This window comes from Homo sapiens, chromosome 14, assembly GCF_000001405.40.
Source record: "Homo sapiens chromosome 14, GRCh38.p14 Primary Assembly".
Classification (NCBI taxonomy): domain Eukaryota; kingdom Metazoa; phylum Chordata; class Mammalia; order Primates; family Hominidae; genus Homo; species Homo sapiens.
In genome coordinates, this window is record NC_000014.9 from 64,880,705 (window position 1) to 64,905,850 (window position 25,146).

General features: G+C 43.3%; 1 long non-coding RNA gene across 1 annotated transcript; it reads right to left on the minus strand.

Annotated features, from left to right (window-relative positions):
- LOC105370534 (uncharacterized) lies at window positions 177-21,424 on the minus strand. Its single transcript, XR_943942.3, has 3 exons — window positions 21,368-21,424; window positions 5,219-5,286; window positions 177-684 (listed from the first exon to the last, which is right to left on the minus strand). It is a non-coding gene; the product is annotated as an uncharacterized LOC105370534 (long non-coding RNA).
- Between the last annotated feature and the right edge of the window lie 3,722 nt (window positions 21,425-25,146).

Below are 25,146 nucleotides of genomic sequence, written 5' to 3' on the forward strand. Positions count from 1 at the left end.
ACCTCCTGGCCGGCCCGGGTCTCCGGGCGAGTGGGGGTGCCTCACTACAAGCCTGGATGAGGCGCGGCGCAGCAGGCCAGAGGAAATACTAGAACCGATGGTGCCAAAAAGGCATCTCCGAGTTGCCCCCGGAGAGAAACTCAATAGAACACCGGCAGCTTGCAAGGCAGTACATTTTCTTGACTTTCTAACGATCAAGGTCATTGTTCAGTAAGGTTTACGTGTACGCCTTGAGGTAGCTTTCATCTCTTTTCTCCACCTGCGGTGCCTGGGATGATTTCTCACCAGCTATCAACGCAGGTAATCTCAGGTATTATGGAAATGGCCGTGGAGATTAAAAGCGCATAGATGCAGAAGAAGTTTTAACTTTTACTGATGCTGCCTGGTGTTCTTAACAAGGGAACAGTCTTACTCCTGAGTTATTTGCTTGGGATTATAATTGTGCTGTTTTCCAGAATTCACCCAGGAAAGGGGTGTTTGCCAGATGTTCGAGTTTAGTTTATATATTGAACATATGCAAAGATACTTCACTTCCTGCTGCAGTCCCACTTCTTGAGGGTGGGTATTTAGACACTGAGATGTGCTGAGTGGGACAAACGCCCCAGGTATTACAGAGCCACAGAATTCTTCACTCCACCCTCCTCTTGGCTGGATCCTTATTACAGCTCAATTTTCCAAGAGACACTAGTAATATGGGAAAGAGGATACAAAAACATTCATGGTCATCGATAGATTCGCAGTGATCCCCTCCTCCCCTTTGTTGACAACATTTAAGAATGCATTTTTCTATTACTGAGTTAAAAAGAGAAAGTTCTGTTTTGTGAAAAAAAATGTTTAAAAGTCAAATTCTGGCAAGGAAAGCTCAAGAAAAACAGGCCAACTTCAAAAGCTGAGACTATTATATATCTCAAGAAGAAATCCTTCATCTATTTTTGTTAGAAAAAAATGGAGGGAAATTATGTATTTATGGTTTTTTAAAAGCTTGTATGAATAAACTTATTAGATAAATTCATGGTTCTCTAGAATGGTGGTTCTGCAGCTACGTAATTATATACTATGCAAGCCAGATAATTCCTTAGCTATAGGTCTGTGGCACTGAACTGAATAGTTGCATACATATTTTTCTTTGTAGCCTTAAAATTTATAATTTTCAACCATAAGAAAAAATTAATATGATAAAACTCCAAATCAGCAGACAGATTACCCCAACATTTTACAAACCAGCTCAGCTGCTTTAGTTATCTCCACTTTAGCTGAAAGCTAAATAATTCAATACAACCTCATTTGCTACAGAGCATGTTATCCTGACAGCATCCCCAAATGCTTTACAGCTAATAGAGTTACAGTGAAATGATAAATCAGAACTGAGGAAGAGAGGAAATTTAGGCTTGCAGTGAGGAAAGGGCATTGTCAAATAATAGGGAAAGGGGAACAGATCTCTGTGGCCAGGAATGAGAAATTGGGAGAATAAAAGAAGGGAGAAAGGTTGGGCATGGTGACTCACACCTGTAATCCCAGTACTTTGGGAGGCCGAGGCAGGCGGATCACTTGAGGTCAGGAGTTCAAGACAAGCCTGGCCAACATGGCAAAACCCTATCTCTACTAAAAACACAAAAATTAGCTGGGTGTGGTGGTGCGCACCTGTAATCCCAGCTACTTGGGAAGCTGAGGCAGGAGAATCACTTGAACCTGGGAGGCATAGGCTGCAGTGAGCCAAGATCACGCCACTGCACTCCCACCTGGGTGACAAAGCAAGACTCTGTTTCAAAAAAAAAAAAAAAAAAAGAAGGGAGAAGGAAACACATACATATGTTCGTTATCAAGGTCATCATTGTGGGCAATAGGGATCACGTCTGGAGGGACCTCCTCAGAAGAGTATAGAATACCTCTTGGAATTGTCTATGTGAAGGATAGGAGATTAACCCTCATCCTGGTTGGACAAAGGACTGCCCCCACTGGTCTCCCACCCATGTTGAAAACCTACACTTCCGAGCTACCCAGCAAGCTCCACATAGGCAGTCTGCAGATTTGGAAGAGTTCTGGGGCCAGAAGAGAAGGTGTGCATTTGAGAATAGATGTTGACAGCCAGAGAGTGGGGGGTAAACCTTCACAGAACTGTCTACTCAGGTCTAGCTGAAACCAACAGGTGAGGCCAAGAAGATATAAGTTGAGACTTATGTTAGAATCATCTAACATAAGAGGGAACTTTCACTTTCCATTTCTGTAGTCTTTGAGTTTTTCACAATAAGCTTGTATTGTTTAATAATAAGTAGAGATGATAAATAAATTAAAAAGTAAAGATTGGATGGAGATGGTGGATTGAATACACGCATTTAGCTTCTCTTCTACCCCAAATTTCATTAGAAGATATGTCTGAAACAGGCATCTAAAAGCACAGGAAAATAAGGAAAAGGGGATCAGTGTTCCAACAATGTTCAAGAAATCCAGAGATACAGAAAAGATGCAAGATCTGATTCACAGAGAAACAAAATCAGAGGAAACCAAAACAGATTCAGGAGGAGCAATAGTTTAGGGAAGTTGCAAGCAATAGTTAAAGGATACAAGAGGAGGAGGGGCCCTGAGACAGAATAATTCACTTAGGAGCCTCCTCTGTCCTGCTCACATTAAATATCAGGTGTTTGCCTGCAGGACTTAAAAAAAAAGTTAATGGGGATCCTGGGACCCAAGGGGCAGAGCTCAGGGATCTAGTGACCCCAAGAAATGACAGAAACCATTCACTCTCTTGGGATAGCATGTCCTGACCCTTCTTCACAGCCCCTGAAGATAGGCTATGATAAGCAGAAAGAGGAGACAAGCCCATTCCCACATTAAGGGATGATAGGACAACCACCAAATATCTTATGGGGAGAGGGGAACCAATACCATGAAAGAGAAGCACCAAACCCAACTAATAGAAGGAAATAATATCAGAGGAAACTAAGTTAATAAAAGGAACAAGATAAATGTTAAATAATTTAATTTTAATCAGCAAGTCTTGAAAGGATATTGCATCCACAACAAATAATCAGTGAGAAACCTTAGAAATTTAAAAAGTCATTTCTGATATTGAAAATTCATTAGTTGAGAAGCAGAACAGACCTACTTGAAGGGCAAATTAGTGGAAACAGAAGCCAAAGAAATTTTCCCCAAACACCGGGCAAAAGACAAAGGAGATGGAAAGTATGTGAAAATGGTTGAAAGCCATGTAGGCAAAATCCCCCAAGGTCCAGTATTTGCTTAATGGAAGTTACAAAAGGAAAGAAAAGAGAGTAGAAGAAGGTAATAATGGGAAAGTAGAATAGAAATTCTCAGAGTTGAAGAAAAGCATAAATTTTCAGATTATAAAAACCAACTGAGTTGCCAGCCAGATGATTTTTAAATATAGTTCACAGTTTTATGAACAGTTTTAAAGTTTATGATTTTATTTATAAAACCCAAGACATTGAATAAAAATAAGTCATAAACCAAAAACTATAATAAGCTACACCAACTTGCTTGGCCTTGAATTAAATTGATCCTAAAAATATTTTGAGCTGGATGCGATGGCTCATGCCTGTAATCCCAGCACTTTGGGAGGCTGAGGTGGGAGGATCACCTGAGCCTAGGAGTTCGAAGCAGCAGTGAGCTATGATCACGCCACTGTACTCCAGCTTGGGTGACAGAGCAAGACCCTATCTAAAACAAAAATAAAAACAAAAACAAAAAACTGAATCACATAACCAAAGTTATTTGTGTGAAATAAATGAACCACTTGAATTCAGAAATGAATATATATGTAGGAAAGCTACGGAAAAACGTAAATACCAAACCAAACAAACCTGAAGTTCCACTCAACTCAAACTCAAATCCCCGCCAACAACAATGGAGGTATCAAGAACTCATGATAATGTTCAGAAATCATCAGAATACTGCCCATAGCTCAAAAATCATTATTTCCCTTCTTTACCCTTTTGCAAAGACATGCATTTCATAAAATTAAGGTGAAATTTCCATTTCATTTTTGGAAACATCTAGAGGCATCACATTCTCCACAACTTTCAAAGACAAAGCAGCAGCAGGACCAATTGGAAAAGCCTGCCATTTACAATATGGAGGAATCAAGGATTAGGGACCAAACTTGCCCTTCAGATGCCTCAAACAGAATGGTTGTGGAAGGAACTTGAAAGCCTGCAGCAAGTTTGCAAATACCAGATGAACCATCTTCTGAAGGGGCAGATGACACCAATTTCAAATTTCCCTCCACCAATAACAGGAAAAAGCAAAACAAGATTTGTATCCTGTCATCTGCTAGTCCATGGAAGCATTAACCAGGCTTGGAAATTAATGAGCATCTTTTCTTTTCTTTTTTTTTTTTTTGAGGTGGAGTCTTGCTCTGTTGCCCAGGCTGGAATGCAGTGGCTCACTGCAACCTCCACCTCCTGGGTTCAAGTGATTTTCCCACCTCAGCCTCCTGAGTAGCTGGGATTACAGGCATGCGCCACCATGCCCAGCTAATTTTTGTATTTTTAGTAGAGACGGGGTTTCACCATGTTGGTCAGGCTAGTCTCGAACTCCTGACCTCGTGATCCACCTGCCTTGGCCTCTCAAAGTGCTAGGATTACAGGTGTGAGCCACCATGCCTGGCTGCATCTTTTCTTATATTGCAGTTCCTGATCTTTCCTTGCCACACAGGATTAGGTTTTTTGTCACCTCACATGAGCTTGAGTAGATGTAATGGCAGACTTACACTGGGGTATCTGATGAACTGGGACCTGTAGGTGCTAATTCACCTTGTTCCCAAGGCTGTATTAATTTGCTAGGGCTCCCATGACAAAGTACCATATGCTGGGTGACTCAAACACAAAAATTAATTTTCTTACAGTACTAGGGTCTAGAAGTCCAAGATCAAGGTTTCGGCAGGGTTGATTTCTTCTGAAGCCTCTCTCCTTGGCTTGTAGAGGGCTATCTTTTCCCTCTGTCTTCACATAGTCTCCACTTTGTGTGCACCTATGTCCTACTCTCTTTTTTTTTTTTATGGACATGAGTTATATTTGGTTAGGGCCCATCCATATGACCTCAGTTTTACTTTCACTACCTCTGTAAAGCCTTATCTCCAAATACAGTCACTTTCTGAGGCATTGAGATCTAAGACTTCAACATGTGAATTTAGGGGGATACAATTAAGTCCATCACACAGCCTCATCTTTTCTCACAATGAATTGCTTCTGGAGCCTCTTACCTGTTCATCCGTTCTCCAGTTTCCCTCTCCTTCAATTCTGCTTCCACATAGTAGCCAAAGTACACTTTCTAAAAAGGAAGGTTGGTCTTGTCACTCTGCTTCTTTAAATCAGCCAGTGGCTCCCCATTGCTTTCAGGATATAGTTTTAAGATTCCTGGCACTTAGCATAGTATCTGACACAAAAGATATACTTAATAAAGGCCTAATGAGCAAATGAGTAAATAAATGAATGAACACATTATGGAAATTAAAGGAGGTTGCAATCTTGGAGATCAACCAAAGAACAGGTAATTCAAAAAGTCATTTCTATTTGGCTTAAAAATGCATATTTGTGATTTTTTTCAGGAGATTAACTTTCCTATCTATGTTCGAATAAGGTTATTTAAATGAATTCACATTCCCTGAAACATAGCTGGCAATATTTGTGCCTGAATTTCACCAGGTCCTCAGCTACCCTGATGCATCCATACCTAACTTATTGTCAATGGGTGAGAAATGGAGTGAATCGAGTAGGTTTTATGCTCACAGTTACCACTGAGCTCATCTATGGAGGCAGGGGTCTGCCATCTTCCAACGTCTTTATAACAAGGGATAGCAAACACAATAATGATGATTCGGTTAGCTTTTGTCTCTGTCTGCTCCACCCTCTCAGTGTCATTTTCAGTCCTCATCCTTGGGCAATGGCCCTGCTCCAACTCCCATACTCCAATATGCCAAAGCCTTGAGTACACAGGATTAAGAACATAGGAAGATGAATCCAAACGCATTATAAGGAGTGAGTTAATGTTGTTTTGATATTAACACTCTACCTTGAGTACTCCAGACAGTGGGTAGTCTGCAAGTAGACAACTGAGAGTAACTAACCATGAAAACTTTGTTCTCTTCCTTTATTAATATTTATCAAGCCAGAAACTCAAATCAAGGGTAGAAAATATAATTTTAAAAAATCAAATTTGTTAATATGGAATGACAGCTGGAGTTCTAACAGTTTAACCAATAAAACAATTTTGTGTTTATATGATAATTACTGCCAGCATAAATGGTCTTGTTAATTGCTTTTATTTGTTAGTGAGCAGTTTCCAAATTCACAAATATTTGTTCTTAATATTAACCAAGACCTTTGGGAAATTTTCAATAAAGTTTGGAAAGACATTGCAATAAAAGACTCCATTACTTCTGCAAATTCATCTCATTTTCTTTTCTATTGGATATTTCTACAGCTGCTCAATTTCTGTTTGGATATTTCTTCAATGATTTAAGGTCTGGTCTACAAGAAACTATGATTCAATTCAAACATATGTTTTATAGAATTCATACAGAATATAACTGGGTCTTCTCAGAAATATCATTTTCCTCATTTTTTTGGTATGAAAAATTCTATTTTTAAAAGTGCATTTATCATTTTCTCTCTTCCAAATGCCTTATGTCATTTTTATTCAATTTCATGAAGTAAATTGCTATCATTATCCTTACTGCTATATTAAGAAATTAAGAAAGAGTTTAAGTAGTTTTACAAAGATCACATAGAAATCCAAATCTCTGCTTATTAAAGCATCATTTATTCAAGGAGCAGTATCTCATGATTTTTAAATTAACAAATCCCATGATATGTAATGTAGATGATTCATACTATAACCTAATATTTTAAGTCATTAATTAAGTCAAGAATTTAGCCCCACATTATGCTAAGCATGTAGAGTAACAACTCTGTGCTGCTTGTTCTATTCCATCTCCATCTTAGTAATCAAAATGCACTTACGCACCCAGCTCTTGACCTTCCATAGCAGAAACTGAACCAAAGGAAAGCTGTAGACCCTTCTTTTGGGAGGAGTTCCAAACTGTGAGTGGGCATTTGTTTTCCATCACTGACCCCAACTGCTGCCTAACTCTATTTCTCCACCCTTACCCTTCTCCTCAAATAAATACTGCCAGGCATAAACAGGTATATGTTTATGCCTGTTTATGGCATAAACAGCCCCATATAACACCAGCCCCATATATTTCAAATACTCAGCATATCCCTATCCTGCCTTCATTCCAAAGAATGTACTGGAATCTGCTAACTTATTTCATAACTAAAAACAAATCTTTTGTTTGTTTGTTTGTTTTTGAGACAGAGTTTTGCTCTTGTCATCCAGGCTGGAGTGCAATGGTGAGATCTTGGCTCACTGCAACCTCCGCCTCCCAGATTCAAGTGATTCTCCTGCTTCAGCCTCCCAAGTAGCTGGGATTACAGGTGCCTGCCACCACGCCAGGCTAATTTTGTTGTATTTTTAGTAGAGTCGGGGTTTCACCATGTTGGCCAAGCTGGTCTCGAACTCCTGACCTCAGGTAATCCACCTGCCTAGGCCTCCCAAAGTGCTGGGATTACAGGTGTGAGCCACCACGTCCAGCCTTAAAAGCAAATCTTAAAATGCAATGACCCCGGGAGGAGTTAGCTTTTAAGGTAGGATCTTTTGGCTATTGGCATAAGAAAAAAAAGTCAGTTCCACTTAGTGACATTTTAAGAGCCAAGAATTTTTTTTTTAAGATAGTAGCAGGGTAAACCAGAAAGATCACTAGATGTAAAGGCAAAATACCTGGATTCTACTTCCTCTTAACCTCTCTATATCTCAGCTTCTCTTCTGCGAAATGATGGCATTGAACTAGCTAGTCTCTAAGGATTCTTTTAGCTTTAGCTTTCTATGTTTTACACTTATGCTAAGAACATAGTAGATGTTCATTATAATAATGAAAAATTGGAAATCACTTCAATGTTCATCAAAATGGGATTGGTTAAACCAATTATGGTGTGAACGCATGCACACACACACACACACATAAATTCTATGTAGTCATTTAAGTGATGTGGTTTTATGCTTACTGATAGGGAAAGATGTCATGGCATACTGTTGATTTTTTTTAAGTAGGCTCTAAATAATTTCTATTTGATTAAGAAATAAGACATTTCATATCAGGAAAGATACTCCAAAAAATCTAAGTGATTTCTAGATGGTGAGATTTAGAGTAATTCTTACTTCCTTCTCTATTTTGCTATAAGGTTTGGGTATTTCATAAGCATAGAATATTTTATAATAAATAATAAAGTTGTTTTCAATGTGGGGGAAAATATAGTTAAATATAAATAGCAGATATGAGATCCTTACCTGCGAACAAGCTTTGATAGAGAGGATGGTGAGAACAAGAACAAAACAGCAGTGAACTAAAGGAAAACAAGGTCTGAATATTCTCATCAATAACTCAGATAATGAAATAACCGTGCCCCAAAGGTTAGAAAAAAAAAACTATTCTTTTTATACAAAACCGGCACAGCTGATCTGTTTTGCTCATTCAGGGATCTAATCAAAACCAGCACAGCTGATCTGTTTTGCTCATTCAGGGATCCCATCGCCAGTGTGGAAGATGGAGTTGCCTGACTCATGCTCAGCCCCTTACCAGTCCACCCCATGAGCAATGGGAAGACCTGTCGAGTCATCACACTGGCCATTAGACCAACCTGAGGCTATGGAAAGAAACAATCCTTACTTCGTTTTATGCTGCTATAACAGAATACTATGGATTGGGTAATTTATAATAAACAGAATTTATTTGGCTCATGGTTCTGGAGGCTGGGAAGTCCAAGATTATGGCACCAACATGTGGCGAAGGCCTTCTTGCTGCATCATCTCGTGGTGGAAAGGTGGAAGGGCAAGAGAGCGAACAAACGTGAGGGCAAAAGGTGCTGTTCTTATCAAACCCACTCTCCTGATAATGAATGCCCTCCTAAGATAATAACATGAATGCATTTATGGGGGCAGAGCCCTCATGACCTAATAACTCCCTCAAGATCCCACCTGTCTGGACGGATTGTTTGAGCTCAGGAATTCAAAACCAGCCTTGAGAACATGGCAAAACCCAGTCTCTACAAAAAAAAATTAAAAATTAGCTGGGCATGGTTGTACATGCCTGTAGTCCCAGCTACTCAGGAGGCTGGGGTGGGAGGATCACCTGAGCCTGGGAGGCCGAGGCTGCAGCAAGCCGAGATCACACCACTGCACTCCCACCTGGGCAACAGAGTAAGACTCTGTCTCGAAAAAAAAAAAAAAAAAAACCACCTGTCAACACTGCTGCATTGGGGATTAAGTCTCCAACACATGAACTTTGGGGAACACATTCAAACCATAGCAAACCCTAACCATTTTATGACAGGATTGATCTTATAACTTTGTTTTCTTTACTATTGTGCTTTAATTATTTGAGTTTCCTAAGGTTGCCTAATTAACCTTGATAACTATATTTATTACTCAAATAAACATCAAAAAATGCAGAACAAATTATAAGATAGGTTAACTATCAAGTGGGAATTCATACAAGATAAGTCAGCAAAAGAAGAAGAATAAGCTTTTTTTTTTCTTTTCTTTTCTTGAGAGACAGAGTCTTGTTATGTTACCCAGGCTGGTTTCAAACTCTTGAGCTCAAGGAATCCTGCCATCTCAACCTCCCAAGCAGCTAGGACTACAGGTGTGAGGCACTGCACACAGCTGAGAATAAGCTTCTTACATGCAAAATGGTGGCCTGGGTGCAGTGGCTCACACCTGTAATCCTAGCACTTCAGGAAGCCAAGGTGGTAGATCACTTGAGGTCAGGAGTTCAAGACCAGCCTGGCCAACATGGTGAAACCCTGTCTCTACATCTCTACTAAAAATACAAAATAAAATACGTGGTGGTGTGTGCCTATAATCCTGGCTGAGGTGGGAGAATCACTTGAACCCAGGATGCAGAGGTTGCAGTAAGCCGAGATCGTGCCACTGCACTCCAGCCTGGGCGAAGGAGTGAGACTCTAGCTCAAAAAAAAAAAAAAAAGCAAAATAGTGAATAAGTTTTGAAGTTGAAAATTGGTAGAAAAAAAAAATCTTGTGGGAAATCATAAAGACAGGTCACTACTGTGGTTGTTATCAGTCAAAAAGTGTGTGGCGTAGTTGCAACACCCAGTATGGGGATCTGGATCTCTATGTGGGATGGGCGATCTGAGTGTCCAAACGGGATCTAAACTTCTCTACTTGAGGAATCTTCCTGTTGCTGACTTAAATGATTGTTAGTAGTATATTATTTGCTTTTTGCCATTTGTATCATACCTTTCATACTCAAATTCCTTGACTCAATTTGGGAATCAATGGCTATAGAGGTTAACTAAGGAGTTAGCGAGTGCATAGAGAAGCTATGAAAATAGAGAATAGAGAAGCTATGAGAATAGAGAAGCTATGCTCACAAGGAAGAGAATTTCTGAGGTTTAGACTCAGAGCAGCTCAGGAAGTCAACTGGTCTCTGCCTACTGGAAGTGCTGGAGGCATGCAAGGACCATGACCAGAAACTCTAAGTGGAGCCACAACAAGTCAAGAACAGCATGCACATAATTTACAGTTTATCTCTCACTAACTCATTATTTATTTTACTTGTTATATTCTGCTTACTGAAGGGATTTTTGAAGGTGTTCTTGTGATTTATTTACCAGAACAAAGTTCTGTATCAGTCTTCTCTTCCCAACTAAATTGTATAATGCTTGATACTTTAAAAAGTTTCTCTTCTATTGCCCAAGATCCCTAGTATGATACTAAACAATGATAGGTGGATAGGGCATACGCAAAAATAATGCTGAAGATTTTAATACGCATAAGTACACAGCATAAGTACATAGTTTCTACTAGTTGCTTTAATGAATAAAGCTATGTTACAGATTCTAGCTCATCTCCTGGATCCCACATAAGACATGGTGACCATATGTTCCAGTTTGCGCAAAACAGGTTTGCACCTGTTATCCTGGCATAATCGTTAATAGTGCTCCCTTGGCACTCTCAAAAATGTACTGGTTTGGACAATAAATTATACAATGACCTTATTGATCAGCTGCCCCCCAGGGGCTTCCCAGTAATTTCCAATGTACAAAAAGTAATTTTGCCTTAACAGTGAAGGAAAGCTTTATGGCAAAAGACAACCACAAAGTACAAAGTTAAAATTACATTAACTACTTACTATTTCCTATGTAAGATGGTTTATCTCTATGTAAATGTGAGCCAACTCTGCCCTCTGCTGTCTTATGACAGTATTATGACACTGTTTCAGCTTCATTGATTGAAGCTGATTGTGTTAGTCGTGCTGACTACCTTAGATTGTGGATTCTCATCTTTGCCTACTGCTATATTAGCTTTTAAAAATCCCCACTGTCTATGCTGCATCCTACACCAGTAAATCAGAATCTCTCAGGATGGGACCCAATCATGAATTTTTGTAAGCTCCCCAGTTGATTTCAATGTGCAACTAAGGTTAAGAACGGTTGCTTAGAACATCAGATTGAATAGTCTGTTGTGGTTCACTTAGCTATTTGATTTCACAGTCCAGATTAGACTATACTCCTAATTATGTCTGGGAATCCTTGGAGATTGGAAGAAAAAGATGAGTATATCAGAACAAATCTCAGCCAGGCATGGTGGCTCGCCCCTGTAATCCAAGCACTTTGGGAGGCCAAGGTGGGCAGATCACCTAAGGTCAGGAGTTTGAGACCAGCCTAGCCAACATGGTGAAACCCCGTCTCTACTAAAACTACAAAAATTGGCTGGGCGTGGTGGTGCATGTCTGTCATCCCAGCTACTCAGGAGGCTGAGGCAGGATAATCACTTGAACCCAGGAGGTGGAGGTTGCAGTGAGCTGACATTGCACCACTGCACTCCAGCCTGGGCGACAGAGTGAAACTCCATCTCAAAACAAAAACAAAACAAAACAAAACAAAACAAACAAAACAGCATTTTAAAAAGCTGTTCTAGCTGGGCGCAGTGGCTCACATCTGTAATCCCAGCACTTTGGGAAGCCAAGGCAGGTGGATCATCTCAGGTCAGGAGTTCGAGACCAGCCTGGCCAACATGGTGAAACCCTGTCTCTACTAAAAGTACAAAAAAAATCAGCCAGGTGTGGTGGCACGTGCCTGTGGTCCCAGCTACTTGGGATGCTGAGGCAGGAGAATCGCCTGAACCCGGGAGGTGGAGGTTACAGTGAGCCAAGATCAAAAGCCACTGCACTCCAGCCTGAGCAAGAGAGCTACACTCCATCTCAAAAAAAAAAAAAAAAAAAAAAAAAGCCATTCTAAGGGATGGTGTTTTCCTTGTGTATAAAAATATTTTTTTACTTATAGTGATGATAGGGACAGTACGTACTGAAAAAGCTCAGCCCTATTTCTTTGATGATGGAATTATCTGCTGATGAAGCTCCAGAACAGCCAAGAAAGTTGGATGAGAAGACAGGGGCAAATGAGGTAGAGACTATTGCATTAAACAACTGCTTCCTTTTTCTTGAATGTTCAGAGACTTGTTAATGGAGTTTATCATATGGAAAAGCACTGATGTGAAAGCTCAAGGAATCTCCTGGGTGGAAGTTGCACTAATTAGAACATTAACTAAATTAAATCACTGGGGAAGAGTGAATCCCAAAGGGAATACGATAGAAAGGAGAAAGATACAGAAAAATTATTAATAATCCATGAGAGAGAGGAAGAAGGAGAGACAGCTTTTGCAGAAAACTGACCAAGAAGCAGGTTTTTAATAGTAAGCCAGAAGTTTACTTCCCATTCCCTTTTTCTAAAGTTTATCAGGAAAAGCTAATGGATCTAGCACTTCAAATTGGCACTGTTATAAGAGATTTTATTCCTCTTAAAATAAATTCTTATCTAAAACTGTAGGATTGGCCAGAAATGTTGGCATGAGAAAGAAGGGTTCATTAAAGAATTTTCTTTTTTTTTTTTTTTTTTTTTTTTTTGATGAGCAAACTGCATTTATTTACTCTCCGATTGTTATTACTTACATAAACTCATTCTCATTGTTCAATGGATACATTTTTCTATCTGTGAGGATTATTTGAGTGTCTTGAGTTGGAAGGGAGAGCATCATAATTTATTCCCTAAAAATGTTTAAAAAAGATATGTTTTCATTTAACAGCTTTTCACTTGGGCTCGTGAAAAGTCCACAGCTCAGCAAGCATATGGCAGGCTTTCATTTTCAGGAAGAATGAAAGTTGTTAAGTGAGGGAGAGGTGCACAGGATAAAGCCATGTGCCACCTCCTCCTCTGGTTCTGAGACTCCTCTGCTATCACCAGGCAGAGCAATCTCTCCTTGTCCAGAGTTGTTACTTCCTTTGATAATCCAAGTAGGGCAAGGCCAGCTTCTTCTCACTTCGTGCTCTTTTTTTTTTTTTTTTTTTTTTTATTTTTTATTTTTATTGATCATTCTTGGGTGTTTCTCGCAGAGGGGGATTTGGCAGGGTCATAGGACAATAGTGGAGGGAAGGTCAGCAGATAAACAAGTGAACAAAGGTCTCTGGTTTTCCTAGGCAGAGGACCCTGCGGCCTTCCGCAGTGTTTGTGTCCCTGGGTACTTAAGATTAGGGAGTGGTGATGACTCTTAACGAGCATGCTGCCTTCAAGCATCTGTTTAACAAAGCACATCTTGCACCGCCCTTAATCCATTTAACCCTGAGTGGACACAGCACATGTTTCAGAGAGCACAGGGTTGGGGATAAGGTCACAGATCAACAGGATCCCAAGGCAGAAGAATTTTTCTTAGTACAGAACAAAATGAAAAGTCTCCCATGTCTACTTCTATCCACACAGACCCGGCAACCATCCGATTTCTCAATTTTTTCCCCACCCTTCCCGCCTTTCTATTCCACAAAACCGCCATTGTCATCATGGCCCATCCCCAATGAGCCGCTGGGCACACCTCCCAGACGGGGTCGTGGCCGGGCAGAGGGGCTCCTCACTTCCCAGTAGGGGCGGCCCGGCAGAAGTGCCCCTCACCTCCCAGATGGGGCGGCTGGCCGGGAGGGGGGCTGACCCCCCCACCGCCCTCCCGGACGGGGCGGCTGGCCAGGCAGAGGGGCTCCTCACTTCCCAGTAGGGGCGGCCGGGCAGAGGCGCCCCTCACCTCCTGGATAGGGCGGCTGGCCGGGCGGGGGGCTGTTCCCCCCACCTCCCTCCCGGACGGGGCGGCTGGCCGGGCAGAGGGGTCCTCACTTCCCAGTAGGGGCGGCCGGGCAGAGGCGCCCCTCACCTCCCGGACGGGGCGGCTGGCCAGGCAGGGGGCTGATCCCCCCACCTCCCTCCCGGACGGGGCGGCTGGCCGGGCGGGGGGCTGACCCCCCCCACCTCCCTCCCGGACGGGGCGGCTGGCCGGGCAGAGGGGTCCTCACTTCCCAGTAGGGGCGGCCGGGCAGAGGCGCCCCTCACCTCCCGGACGGGGCGGCTGGCCAGGCAGGGGGCTGATCCCCCCACCTCCCTCCCGGACGGGGCGGCTGGCCGGGCGGGGGGCTGACCCCCCCCACCTCCCTCCCGGACGGGGCGGCTGGCCGGGCAGGGGGCTGACCCCCCCTCCCCCCTCCCGGACGGGGCGGCTGGCCGGGCGGGGGGCTGACCCCCCCACCTCCCTCCCGGATGGGGCGGCTGGCCAGGCGGGGGGCTGACCCCCCCACCTCCCTCCTGGGCGGGGCGGCTGGCCGGGCAGAGGGGCTCCTCACTTCCCAGTAGGGGCGGCCGGGCAGAGGCGCCCCTCACCTCCCGGACGGGGCGGCTGGCCAGGCGGGGGGCTGACCCCCCACCTCCCTCCCGGACTGGGCGGCTGGCCGGGCGGGGGGTTGACCCCCCCACCTCCCTCCTGGACGGGGCGACTGGCCGGGCAGAGGGGCTCCTCACTTCCCAGTAGGGGCGGCCGGGCAGAGGAGCCCCTCACCTCCCGGCCGGGGCGGCTGGCCGACCCCCCCCCCCCGCCTCCCTCCCGGACGGGGCGGCTGGCCGGGCAGAGGGGCTCCTCACTTCCCAGTAGGGGCCGCCGGGCAGAGGAGCCCCTCACCTCCCGGACGGGGCGGCTGGCCGGGCGGGGGGCTGACCCCCCCCACCTCCCTCCCGGACGGGGTGGCTGCCGGGCGGAGACGCTCCTCACTTCCCAGACGGGGTGGTTGCCAGACGGAGGGGCTCCTCACTTCTCAGACGGGGCGGTTGCCAGGCAGAGGGTTTCCTCACTTCTCAGACGGAGCGGCCGGGCAGAGACACTCCTCACCTCCCAGACAGGGTTGCGGCCCAGCAGAGGCGCTCCTCACATCCCAGACAGGGCGGTGGGGCAGAGGTGCTCCCCACATCTCAGACGATGGGCGGCCGGGCAGAGACGCTCCTCACTTCCTAGATGGGATGGCGGCGGGGAAGAGGCGCTTCTCGCTTCCTAGATGGGATGGCGGCCGGGCAGAGACGCTCCTCACTTTCCACACTGGGCAGCCAGGCAGAGGGGCTCCTCATATCCCAGACGATGGGTGGCCAAGCAGAGACGCTCCTCACTTCCCAGATGGGGTGGCGGCCGGGCAGAGGCTGCAATCTCGGCTCTTTGGGAGGCCAAGGCAGGCGGCTGGGAGGTGGTTGTAGCGAGCCGAGATCACGCCACTGCACTCCAGCCTGGGCACCATTGAGCACTGAGTGAACGAGACTCCATCTGCAATCCCAGCACCTCGGGAGGCCGAGGCTGGCGGATCACTCGCGGTTAGGAGCTGGAGACCAGCCCGGCCAACACAGCGAAACCCCATCTCCACCAAAAAAAAACGAAAACCAGTCAGGCGTGGCGGCGCGCGCCTGCAATCGCAGGCACTCGGCAGGCTGAGGCAGGAGAATCAGGCAGGGAGGTTGCAGTGAGCCGAGATGGCAGCAGTACCGTCCAGCTTTGGCTCGGCATGAGAGGGAGAGGGAGACGGGAGAGGGAGAGGGAGACGGGAGAGGGAGAGGGAGACGGGAGAGGGAGAGGGAGACGGGAGAGGGAGAGGGAGACGGGAGAGGGAGAGGGAGACGGGAGAGGGAGAGGGAGACGGGAGAGGGAGAGGGAGACGGGAGAGGGAGAGGGACAAGAATTTTCATAGTGGGAATCTGGATAAAAATCTCCTGTGAAAATAGCAGAGGCCTCCAAAAGAAGGCGTGAAAAGGAAGATGTATGTGGCAGATGGTGAGGTCTTTGTACATCATGTGTGTGATCTCATTATTTTGTTCTTCAATTAAGCTGAAGGCAAGACTGGTAGCAAAGTGGGGACAAGGTAGAGGTTTGGAAGTAGCATCAGGAACTATCCTAAATGATTCTTTGACTGGTTCTGTTGTCTATGAAACAACTACTGGTACTTTAAAAAATTCCTTTGCAAGTAATGAGTTAGGACAAAGTAAAAACATTGCTGTAGAAGTAGTGATTCATAAGAATGGTTCTTACTCTTTCTGGGTAACAAACTCCTGTATGTAATGAAAGCTATGCACCCTCTCTACAGAGAAAAATATACATTTATACACAAATACTTAATTTTATATATAGTTCCATCCTGGTTTAAGAACACTTGATTTATAAAATAATCTTCTGTAAGTAGAGTTATGATTAAAATTATTATTTTAAAAGATTTAGTAAGAGTTTATATTTGTAAATCTTTCAATTGAGCATTCCATAAACTAGATTAAACAGTAAAAACTGCCTGTCTTCTAGCTACCTAAAATGCAACAAATAATGTTTGTATAGCCATATAAGGACATACATGTGTTACATCAAAGAAAAAAAAAAGCATGTGTCTTGATAGGAAAGGATAAGAACATCTTGAGAAATGGTAAGCAATGGCAGAGTTATTTAAGGGCAACCCACAACCTCTTTTCAATATAGTCAGGAAATTTTAGAAAAATTATTGAATGCCCCATGTGCAAGGCGGAGATCGGAGATGAGGACCATATGGTCTTTGTCCTCAGGCTGCATTCACTCTAGTGGGGTGGAGATAGGAGAAGGAAACAAATGATTCTAATATAAGGCAGCATTTGTTAAATGCCATATAAAAATTACAAAGCAAATTCTGGGGAGAGGGTTCAGACAGCAAGATCACACTTAACAGGAAATGAAAAATGAAGGCCAGGCATGGCGGCTTATGCCTGTAATCCCACTACTTTGGGAGGCTGAGGCAGAAGGATTGCTTGAGTCCAGAAGTTTGAGGCAACATATTGAAACCCTGTCTCTAAGAAACAGCAACAACAAAAAATTAGCCAGGCATGGTGGTGCATGCCTGTAGTCCCGGCTACTCAGGGGGCTGAGGTGGGAGGATCACTTAAGGCTGGAAGGTTGAGGCTGCAGTGAGCCAGGTTCATGCTACTGCATTGCAGCCTGAGTGACTGTCTCAAAAAAAAGAGACCCTGTCTCAAAAAACAAGCAAAAATGACCCTCACACCTTCTTTTTCCCGCTTTTGTGTGTAAATTACTTGTTGTTTTTTAATAGGAAAATGTCATATGGCCACTCCAAATAGAAGGACTAGGTGACACATTTTTATGCCTGTAAATCAGTTTATATATATGGAAAGTATAGAAATTAAGACAGAAGAGGTGAACCACGGCCACATTGTGGCTGGCTTTAACAGTCAGGTAGAGGAACCTGTGCCTAATTCAGTTGACAATGGTAATTCGTTGAAGGCTTTTATCAAGGCACAGATAGGATCAGTACTGTGCTTTAGGAAAATTAAGCTAGCAGCAGTATGTAGGATGGCTAGAGTGAAGAGAGATAGGAGACAGACTATTATAGTCATCAAGGGGAGAAGTAACCGGGGCCTGAACGATGGTGGCTGGGAAAGTGGAAAGCATGAGGATGTCAGGCTGGGGAATCTGTAGGCCACTGAAGGTTTTTAAACTGGGGAGTGCACTGGGGGCTTTAGAAAACTCTCGAAAAAAAACAAACAGGCTGGGTGCAGTGGCTTATCATGTCTGTAATCCCAGCACTTTGGGAGGCTAAGCCAGGAGGATTGTTTAATCCCGGAGTTTGAGGCTGCAGTGAGCTATGATGACACCACTGCACTCCAGACTGGGTGATAGAGCAAGACCCTGTCTCTAAAAACAAGCAAACAAAAAACAAGCAAGCAAAAAATCTTCTTCAGTATTTTAGAGATATCCTCTTCTAACCTAAATTTCTGCCTGAATAGAAAAGGGCCCCAGCTACATGAAGGAGATTAAGTCCATTTTAATCTTTTGATAAGTAACTATTGAATCCTTTATCAGATCTTGTCCTATCTGTATTTTCTTCTTCCCTTGATGTAGTAAACTTCTTGCATAGAATTCAGAGGAAAAAGGTACTGCGAGCAATTTGAAAAATCAGAATTTATTCTAAGCAAATAAAGGGCTATCTATAGTCCAACATGTAACATAAACTCCTTATCATATATATTTTTAAAAATCCTTCCTTGGCCAAGAGTAGTGGCTCACACTTGTAATCCCAGCACTTTGGAAGGCTGAGGCAGGAGGATCACTTGAACCCAGGAGTTTAAGACCAGCCTGAGCAACATGGCAAGACTGTCTCTAAAAAAATTTTTTTTAATTAGCTGGGCATGGTGGCACACACCTGTAGTCCCAGCTACATGGGAGGCTGAGGTTAGAGGATCGCTGGGGCCCAGGAGGTTGAGGCTGCAGTGAGCCTTGGTGGTGCCACTGCACTCCAGCCTGGGTGACAGAGCAAGACCCAGTCTCAGGAAAAGGAAAAAAAATTCTTTCTTAGTAGTGGCTATTCCTTGAACTTTCATCCCATTTTTCTCTTCTTTTACTGCCAAATTTCTCACAAAATCAGCCTTCATTCATTATCTACCTTGACTTGCCACCTACTCATCCCTCACCCTTAAAACATGGAGCACATCTATAAAACCACAATAAAATCATACCCTCTAAAGTCCACAGCGTCATCCTCACCACCAAAAACTATTAATTTTCTCAATTTTCATCTTCTTTGACCTCCTTCCGGCATTTGGCCCTGTAGACCAACCTCTCCAGCTTGAAATGTTCTTTTCCTTTTGCCGTCTTGACGTACCACACTGTCTTTTTACTTCCACCTCTGGGATCTCTTCTGCTATGTTTCCAACCTATATTCCTATCTACTCTACCAATAAAATTGCAACCCAAGTGATAATCTTGGGCTGTCTGCCACTTATGATCTTGAAGGAAAACACTTTTTCATTCAATTATTCAATGCTCCACAGAATTCCTAAATCCACATCTCTAGTCATGATCTCCTGTCTCAGCTGCAACTTAATATTTCCTACTGGATATTTCCAAATGGATGTCTGAAACTCATCTTGTCTAGAACAGAGCTTATCTTTCCCCTCAAAGTTAAGTCCTCCCTCCTCTCAACTTCTCCACATTCATCAATGATACCATCATTTTCTCAGTGACTCAGGTTTGAAATCTTGAGTCCTTCTTGACTGTTCCCTCTTCTTGCATTGTTGGCCAGTTACCAAACTCTTATCAATCCTGCCTTTGCAAATTCTCTCAAGTCTCTTTTCCTTTCCCTTTCCCACTGCCACTACTGTAGCTCAGACTCATCATTTCTCTCCTATGCATTCCCAATAGTTTTGAAACTAGTTCTTCTCCTTCGTCTTCCTTTTCCTTTTAATACATTCAACAGTTTCATTGGGAATATTATTCTTTTAAAAATATATTGTTGTAGGTATCATTTCCTTATTCAAAACTCTTCAGTTAGATTCCTATCACCTATAGGATGAAAGTTACATATCTTAACCTGGCATTTAATATCCTCCACTATCTGCTTCTTACTTCTTTTTATTCTTTAAAAAAATTTTTTTAATTGAGATGGGGACTTGCTCTGTCACCCAGGCTGGAATGCAGTAGCGTGATCTTAGCTCACTGCAGCCTCAACCTCTTGGGGTCAAGTGATCCTTCTGCCTCAGCCTCCCAAGTAGCTGGGACTACAGGCATGCACCACCACAACCAGCTAATACTTATTTCTATTCTTACCTCACACAAATCCTTTACACAAATTCTCTTCTCCAGCTAATTTTCCAATTGCTCCCAAATATGACATACCCTTAGAGCTGACACTTGCACATTCCAGAGGACACTATTCACAGAGAATATAATGTGAACAGTGTCCCCTGGAGTAGTGCAGTGACTGTACTTTATTCCCATGTTCCTTTTGGTGCCTTTGTTCTTTTTTTTTTTTTTTTTTTTTTTGAGATGGTGTCTCACTCTGTTGCCCAGGCTGGAGTGCAGTGGCGCGATCTCAGCTCACCGCAACCTCTGCCTCCTGGGTTCAAGTGATTCTCCTGCCTCAGCCTCCTGAGTAGCTGGCTAATTTTTTTTTTTTTTTTTTTTTTTTTTGGTAGAGATGGGATTTCACTATGTTGGCTAGGCTGGTCTTAAACTCCTCACCTCAGGTGATCTGCCCGCCTCAGCCTCCCAAAGTGCTGAGATTACAAGCATAAGCCACCACGCCTGGCTGGTGCTTTTGTTCTTGGTCTTCTTCGTATAGACTACTTGCCCCTTGCCTCTGCCCTAACTCTTCCTTCAAGGCCCAGCTCAAGTTCTACGAGTTCCATGAACTCACCACCCACTGCCCCAGCCATTGATAATCACCCCCTCCTCTTGATTCCTAGATTAGTGGTCTGTACGTATGGTGACCATATAATTTATCATCCAGATTGTATATTTGCTTGTTAAAAGGGTCACAATTACTCTGAAACCACAGGTATGAACTGGGACTGTCCAGGACAAGCTGGGCCATATGGTCAACCTACTTATATATTACCCTTTGGCACTTGGTATGTGTTATCTGGTAGTTTTTATTTGTTTGTTAAAATGTATGTATGTATTTAAATGCATATATCTAATCTCCTCAAGATAGTAAATCATCCGAGTATAAATTATGTATTCTCTCTGTGTGTTCTCCTGGTGCCTGGCCAGCGTCTTACACATAATATACACTAAAAGTTGTTTGTTCATCATGATGATGTCTTTACTCTGTTGTTTAGGAATGAAACATGGGTTAGGAATAAACCTTCAAATCAGAAAATTCACTACCCAATTTTCCTTCTGGCAAAAAGACAAAAACCTCTATGTCCCCAGAAACAGATAGTGACATCAAAAAATGTCCTCAAGATTTTGCTGAGGACTGGATTGAGGCCTCTGGCACAAGGCTCTGCCCTGTTGCCTTGTTGCTGAATAATGTCATTCGTCTGTATCTTGACGCATCCTCTTTGCATTGCTTTGTCACACAGCAGAAAGATAACAGCCCCAACCAGAGGACTTACAGAAATCAAATCAAAATAAAATTATTTCTAAGGAAATGCTGTGGTGGTTAACTTACCTGAAACCAAATGCTTGGAAGTCTTGACTTGCTTGACTTATTTTGCTTAATTAACACCTGGCCCCAGTTCAGCATTATCCCTGCTCAACCACCAGGAACTAAAGAAAGAGAAGGAAGAAGATCTAAAAACCAAAAGAAAGACAGCAGTCATGAGAGCGAACGCTCTGAAAATGAACTAGAACACAAACTAAAAAACGAAAGACATGTGGGTAAGAGATAATTAGGACAGAATCATCTCTCAGGAGTAAACACTTAACAAAATAATGCAACAAAAGAGTAGCAGGTCAGAATCACATGGGCGTGTGAGTCGATGTTGAAAAGCCCCAGAAGGGAACACCATTTTGTTCAAACTACTGACAGCTTGGGCCTTTTTAAAATTCCTCCTACCAAATAGGTGATGATAGTAGCATTCATTGATTTGTACATGGATGATATAAGGATGTTTCCCTTTGACTACTCCTCTAAAATTTGGTTCTCAGAGAGAGATTTCACCTGTAAATGTCTGGTCTAGCATTTTTGCTTGTATCTGCGAGAGTCTCCGAGCCCCTCATAACATCAGTAGTCTTAATACGCACAATAATCTGTCTAGAGATTCTCTAAATATTCTCAAGTTTGATAAAGAGCTTCTTAGAGTCTGAGCAACGTAATGAGAACTTGTCTCTACTAAAAACAACAACAACAACAACAACAACAACAATTAGCCAGGCAAAGTGGTGTGCACCTGTAATCCTAGCTACTCAGGAGGCTAAGGCTGGAGGATGGCTTGAGCCCGGGAGGCAGAAGTTGCAGTGTGCCGAGATCACGCCACTGCACTCCAGTTTGGGCAACAGTGAGGGAACATCACACACACACACACACACACACACACACACACACACACATACGGCTCATTAGAAAAGATAAAAGATGGCCAGGTGCGGTGGCTCACATCTGTAATCCTAGCACTTTAGGAGACTGAGGCGGGCGAATCACCTGAGGTCAGGAGTTCGAGACCAGCCTGGCCAACATGGCAAAACCCTGTCTCTACTAAAAATACAAAAATTAGCTGGGCGTGGTGGCCCACATCTATAATCCCAGCTACTTGGGAGGCTGAGGCAGGAGAATTGCTTGAACCTGGGAGGCAGAGGTTGCAATAAGCCGAGATCATGCCACTGCACTCCAGCCTGAGCAAAAGAGTGAAACTCCATCTCAAAAAAAAAAAAAAAAAAAAAAAGATAAAAGATGACTCTTAACACTTCCTTCTACTTATGATCTTTTAATACCTGGACTTCTCTGGAATTATTGGATATATTGACCTCTTGGAGTTCCCAGTTCTTCCTTTGGTTCTTTTTAACTTGAATGAAGTCATCACTTGCCTTGGAAGATTGAAGTCAGGAATAGGCAACTTAAATAGTAGATGTGCCACGAAAGTGTATTTTCTATCTCATTTGTCCTATCATTCCGCTTCCTTTTCCCTTTATCTCTCATTCCCTTCTTTCTACTTGTGATTTTCTTTCACCCTTTCCCTCTACTCCCAATCTTTCCTTGAGTATAGTTAGAGCCCTTGGTGGCAGGTAGGGTCGAACAGTGTTGATTTAAGCATTGATCTTAGATGCAAAGGAGTATATTAAGTGACTTCTTAAGACTTTTCTTAACTCTGGGATTCGGTTGCAGTTAATTACCATCCCTTGATTACTAGCCACTTGTTCTTACATCTTTATTAGGTCCATTGGAATCATCTTCATCATAGCTAACATTTATGGAATACTTAATACATATGTCAGACCGTGTGTAATGTGGATTCTCTCCTTTAATTCTCACAGCAACTCCATGAAGAAGGTGCATTCCCATTTTGCAAATGAGGGAAAGGGAACAGAGAAGTTAGTACCTTTCCCACAGTGTTTCATCACGGCTAATAAGTCACAGAGCCGGGCTGCGAGTCCACATTTGTATGTCTCCATACCACCACTTTGGTAGAAAATGTGATCCTGGTATATGGTAGGAAGAAGCTTGAGCAATTTAAAATCCATTATACAACCTTCATAAGCGCTGGGCCGAGGCATAACTATGAAGCCAATATCCCCTGACTAAAGGGTCAAAACTTTATCCTCTTCATGAAAGGATGTGACATTACTTAGATCAATGCAACCTCCCCTATGTACCACCCCTTACAAACTTGTTTCTCAGCATTTCTGCACTTTTGCACATGTTGGTCCTTGTGTCGGGGGAACACCCTGCCCAACATTCCCTAATGTCTAAGCTTAAAGAGTCTGCGGAGGGATCAACACTTCTGGAAAATCATTGCTGAGACTGTGTCCTCTCCTCTCTCTGACCTCTCCCAGGCTGCCCTTTATCTGGGCCCCAGGAGCATCCCGAAGAGCAGTTATTACACTGTATTGTGATCACTGGTTTTTCTTGCCTTGCCCCCTGACTGTGAAAGGTGGGCATGAGGCAGATACCCCAAACATTATATGAGTGAAATTGAATTCCTGAGCTTTAATATCATCATATTACTTCTTCCAGGTATATTTACATTTTGAGCACCATTCTGAATTTTGAAATGAAATGCTCTCTGATGTAGACACCTTGCCTGTGAAGGGTCACTACCTTCCTTCAGCCCAAGTTGACAAAAACCAGTATGTATGTATGTATGTATGTATGTATGTATGTATGTATGTATGTATTTAGAGGCAAGGTCTCTGTTTTCCAGGCTGGAGTGCAATGGTGCAATCAAAGCTCGCTGCAGTATCGACCTCCAAGGCTCAAGTGATCCTCCCACCTCAGCCTCCCAAGTAGCTGGGATTACAGGCACACGCCCCCACACCCACCGCCCAGTTAATTTTTGTATTTTTTGTAAAGACGGAGTCTTGCCATGTTGCCCAGGCTAGTCCTGAACTTCTGAGCTCAAGTGATCCTCCTGCCTTGGCCTCCCAAAATGCTGGGATTACAGGCATGAGCCATCACACCCAGCTGGATCCAATTATTTATAAAAGAGATACATAAAATAGTGTATAGAACCAATTGAAGGCCGGGTGTGATGGCTCACACCTGTAATCCCAACACTTTGGGAGGCTGAGGCAGGTGGATCACCTGAGGTCAGGAGTTCAAGACCAGCCTGACCACCATGGTGAAACCCCATCTCTACTAAATGTAAAAAATTAGACCGGTGTGGTGGCACATGCCTGTAATCCTAGCTACTTGGGAGGCTGAGGCAGGAGAATCGCTTGAACCTGGGAAGCAGAGGTTGCAGTGAGCCGAGATTGCGCCATTGGACTCCAGCCTGAGCAACAAGAGTGAAACTCCGTCTCAAAAAAAAAAAAAAAAAAGAACCAATTGAAGTCAGGAGGCTGTTGCTAAACTTCCAGGAATGAAGTAACAAACTGCTAAGTTTATAGGTCATTTCCTAGAGAACAAGGAGGTGTTAAATTGGATGATATTAGGGCATGTCCTTCTTGTTGAGTCATCCATGTCTTAGGCAGAATCTTTCCTCTGGTGGGCACAGAATGAAGACATGATTTAGCAATTAATTTATTGGTAATTTATTAGAACAAAAGGTATTATTCTCTAACCAAAACTCTCCTAATTTTTGTTTGTTTGTTTTCTTTCTCAAATTTCAAAACCATTGAAAGCAAAGACCTGGAGTGAACAGAGCAAAATCCAGATGAGACAGGTGGAATGGTAACTGCCTTTGGCTATGGAATTTGGAGTAAGGTGGTGGGAAGGGTGAAACTGTGTGTTCAGCTTTTGTAATCAATCAAAAAACACTTACTGAGCACTTATGTGTCAGGTATAATGCTAAA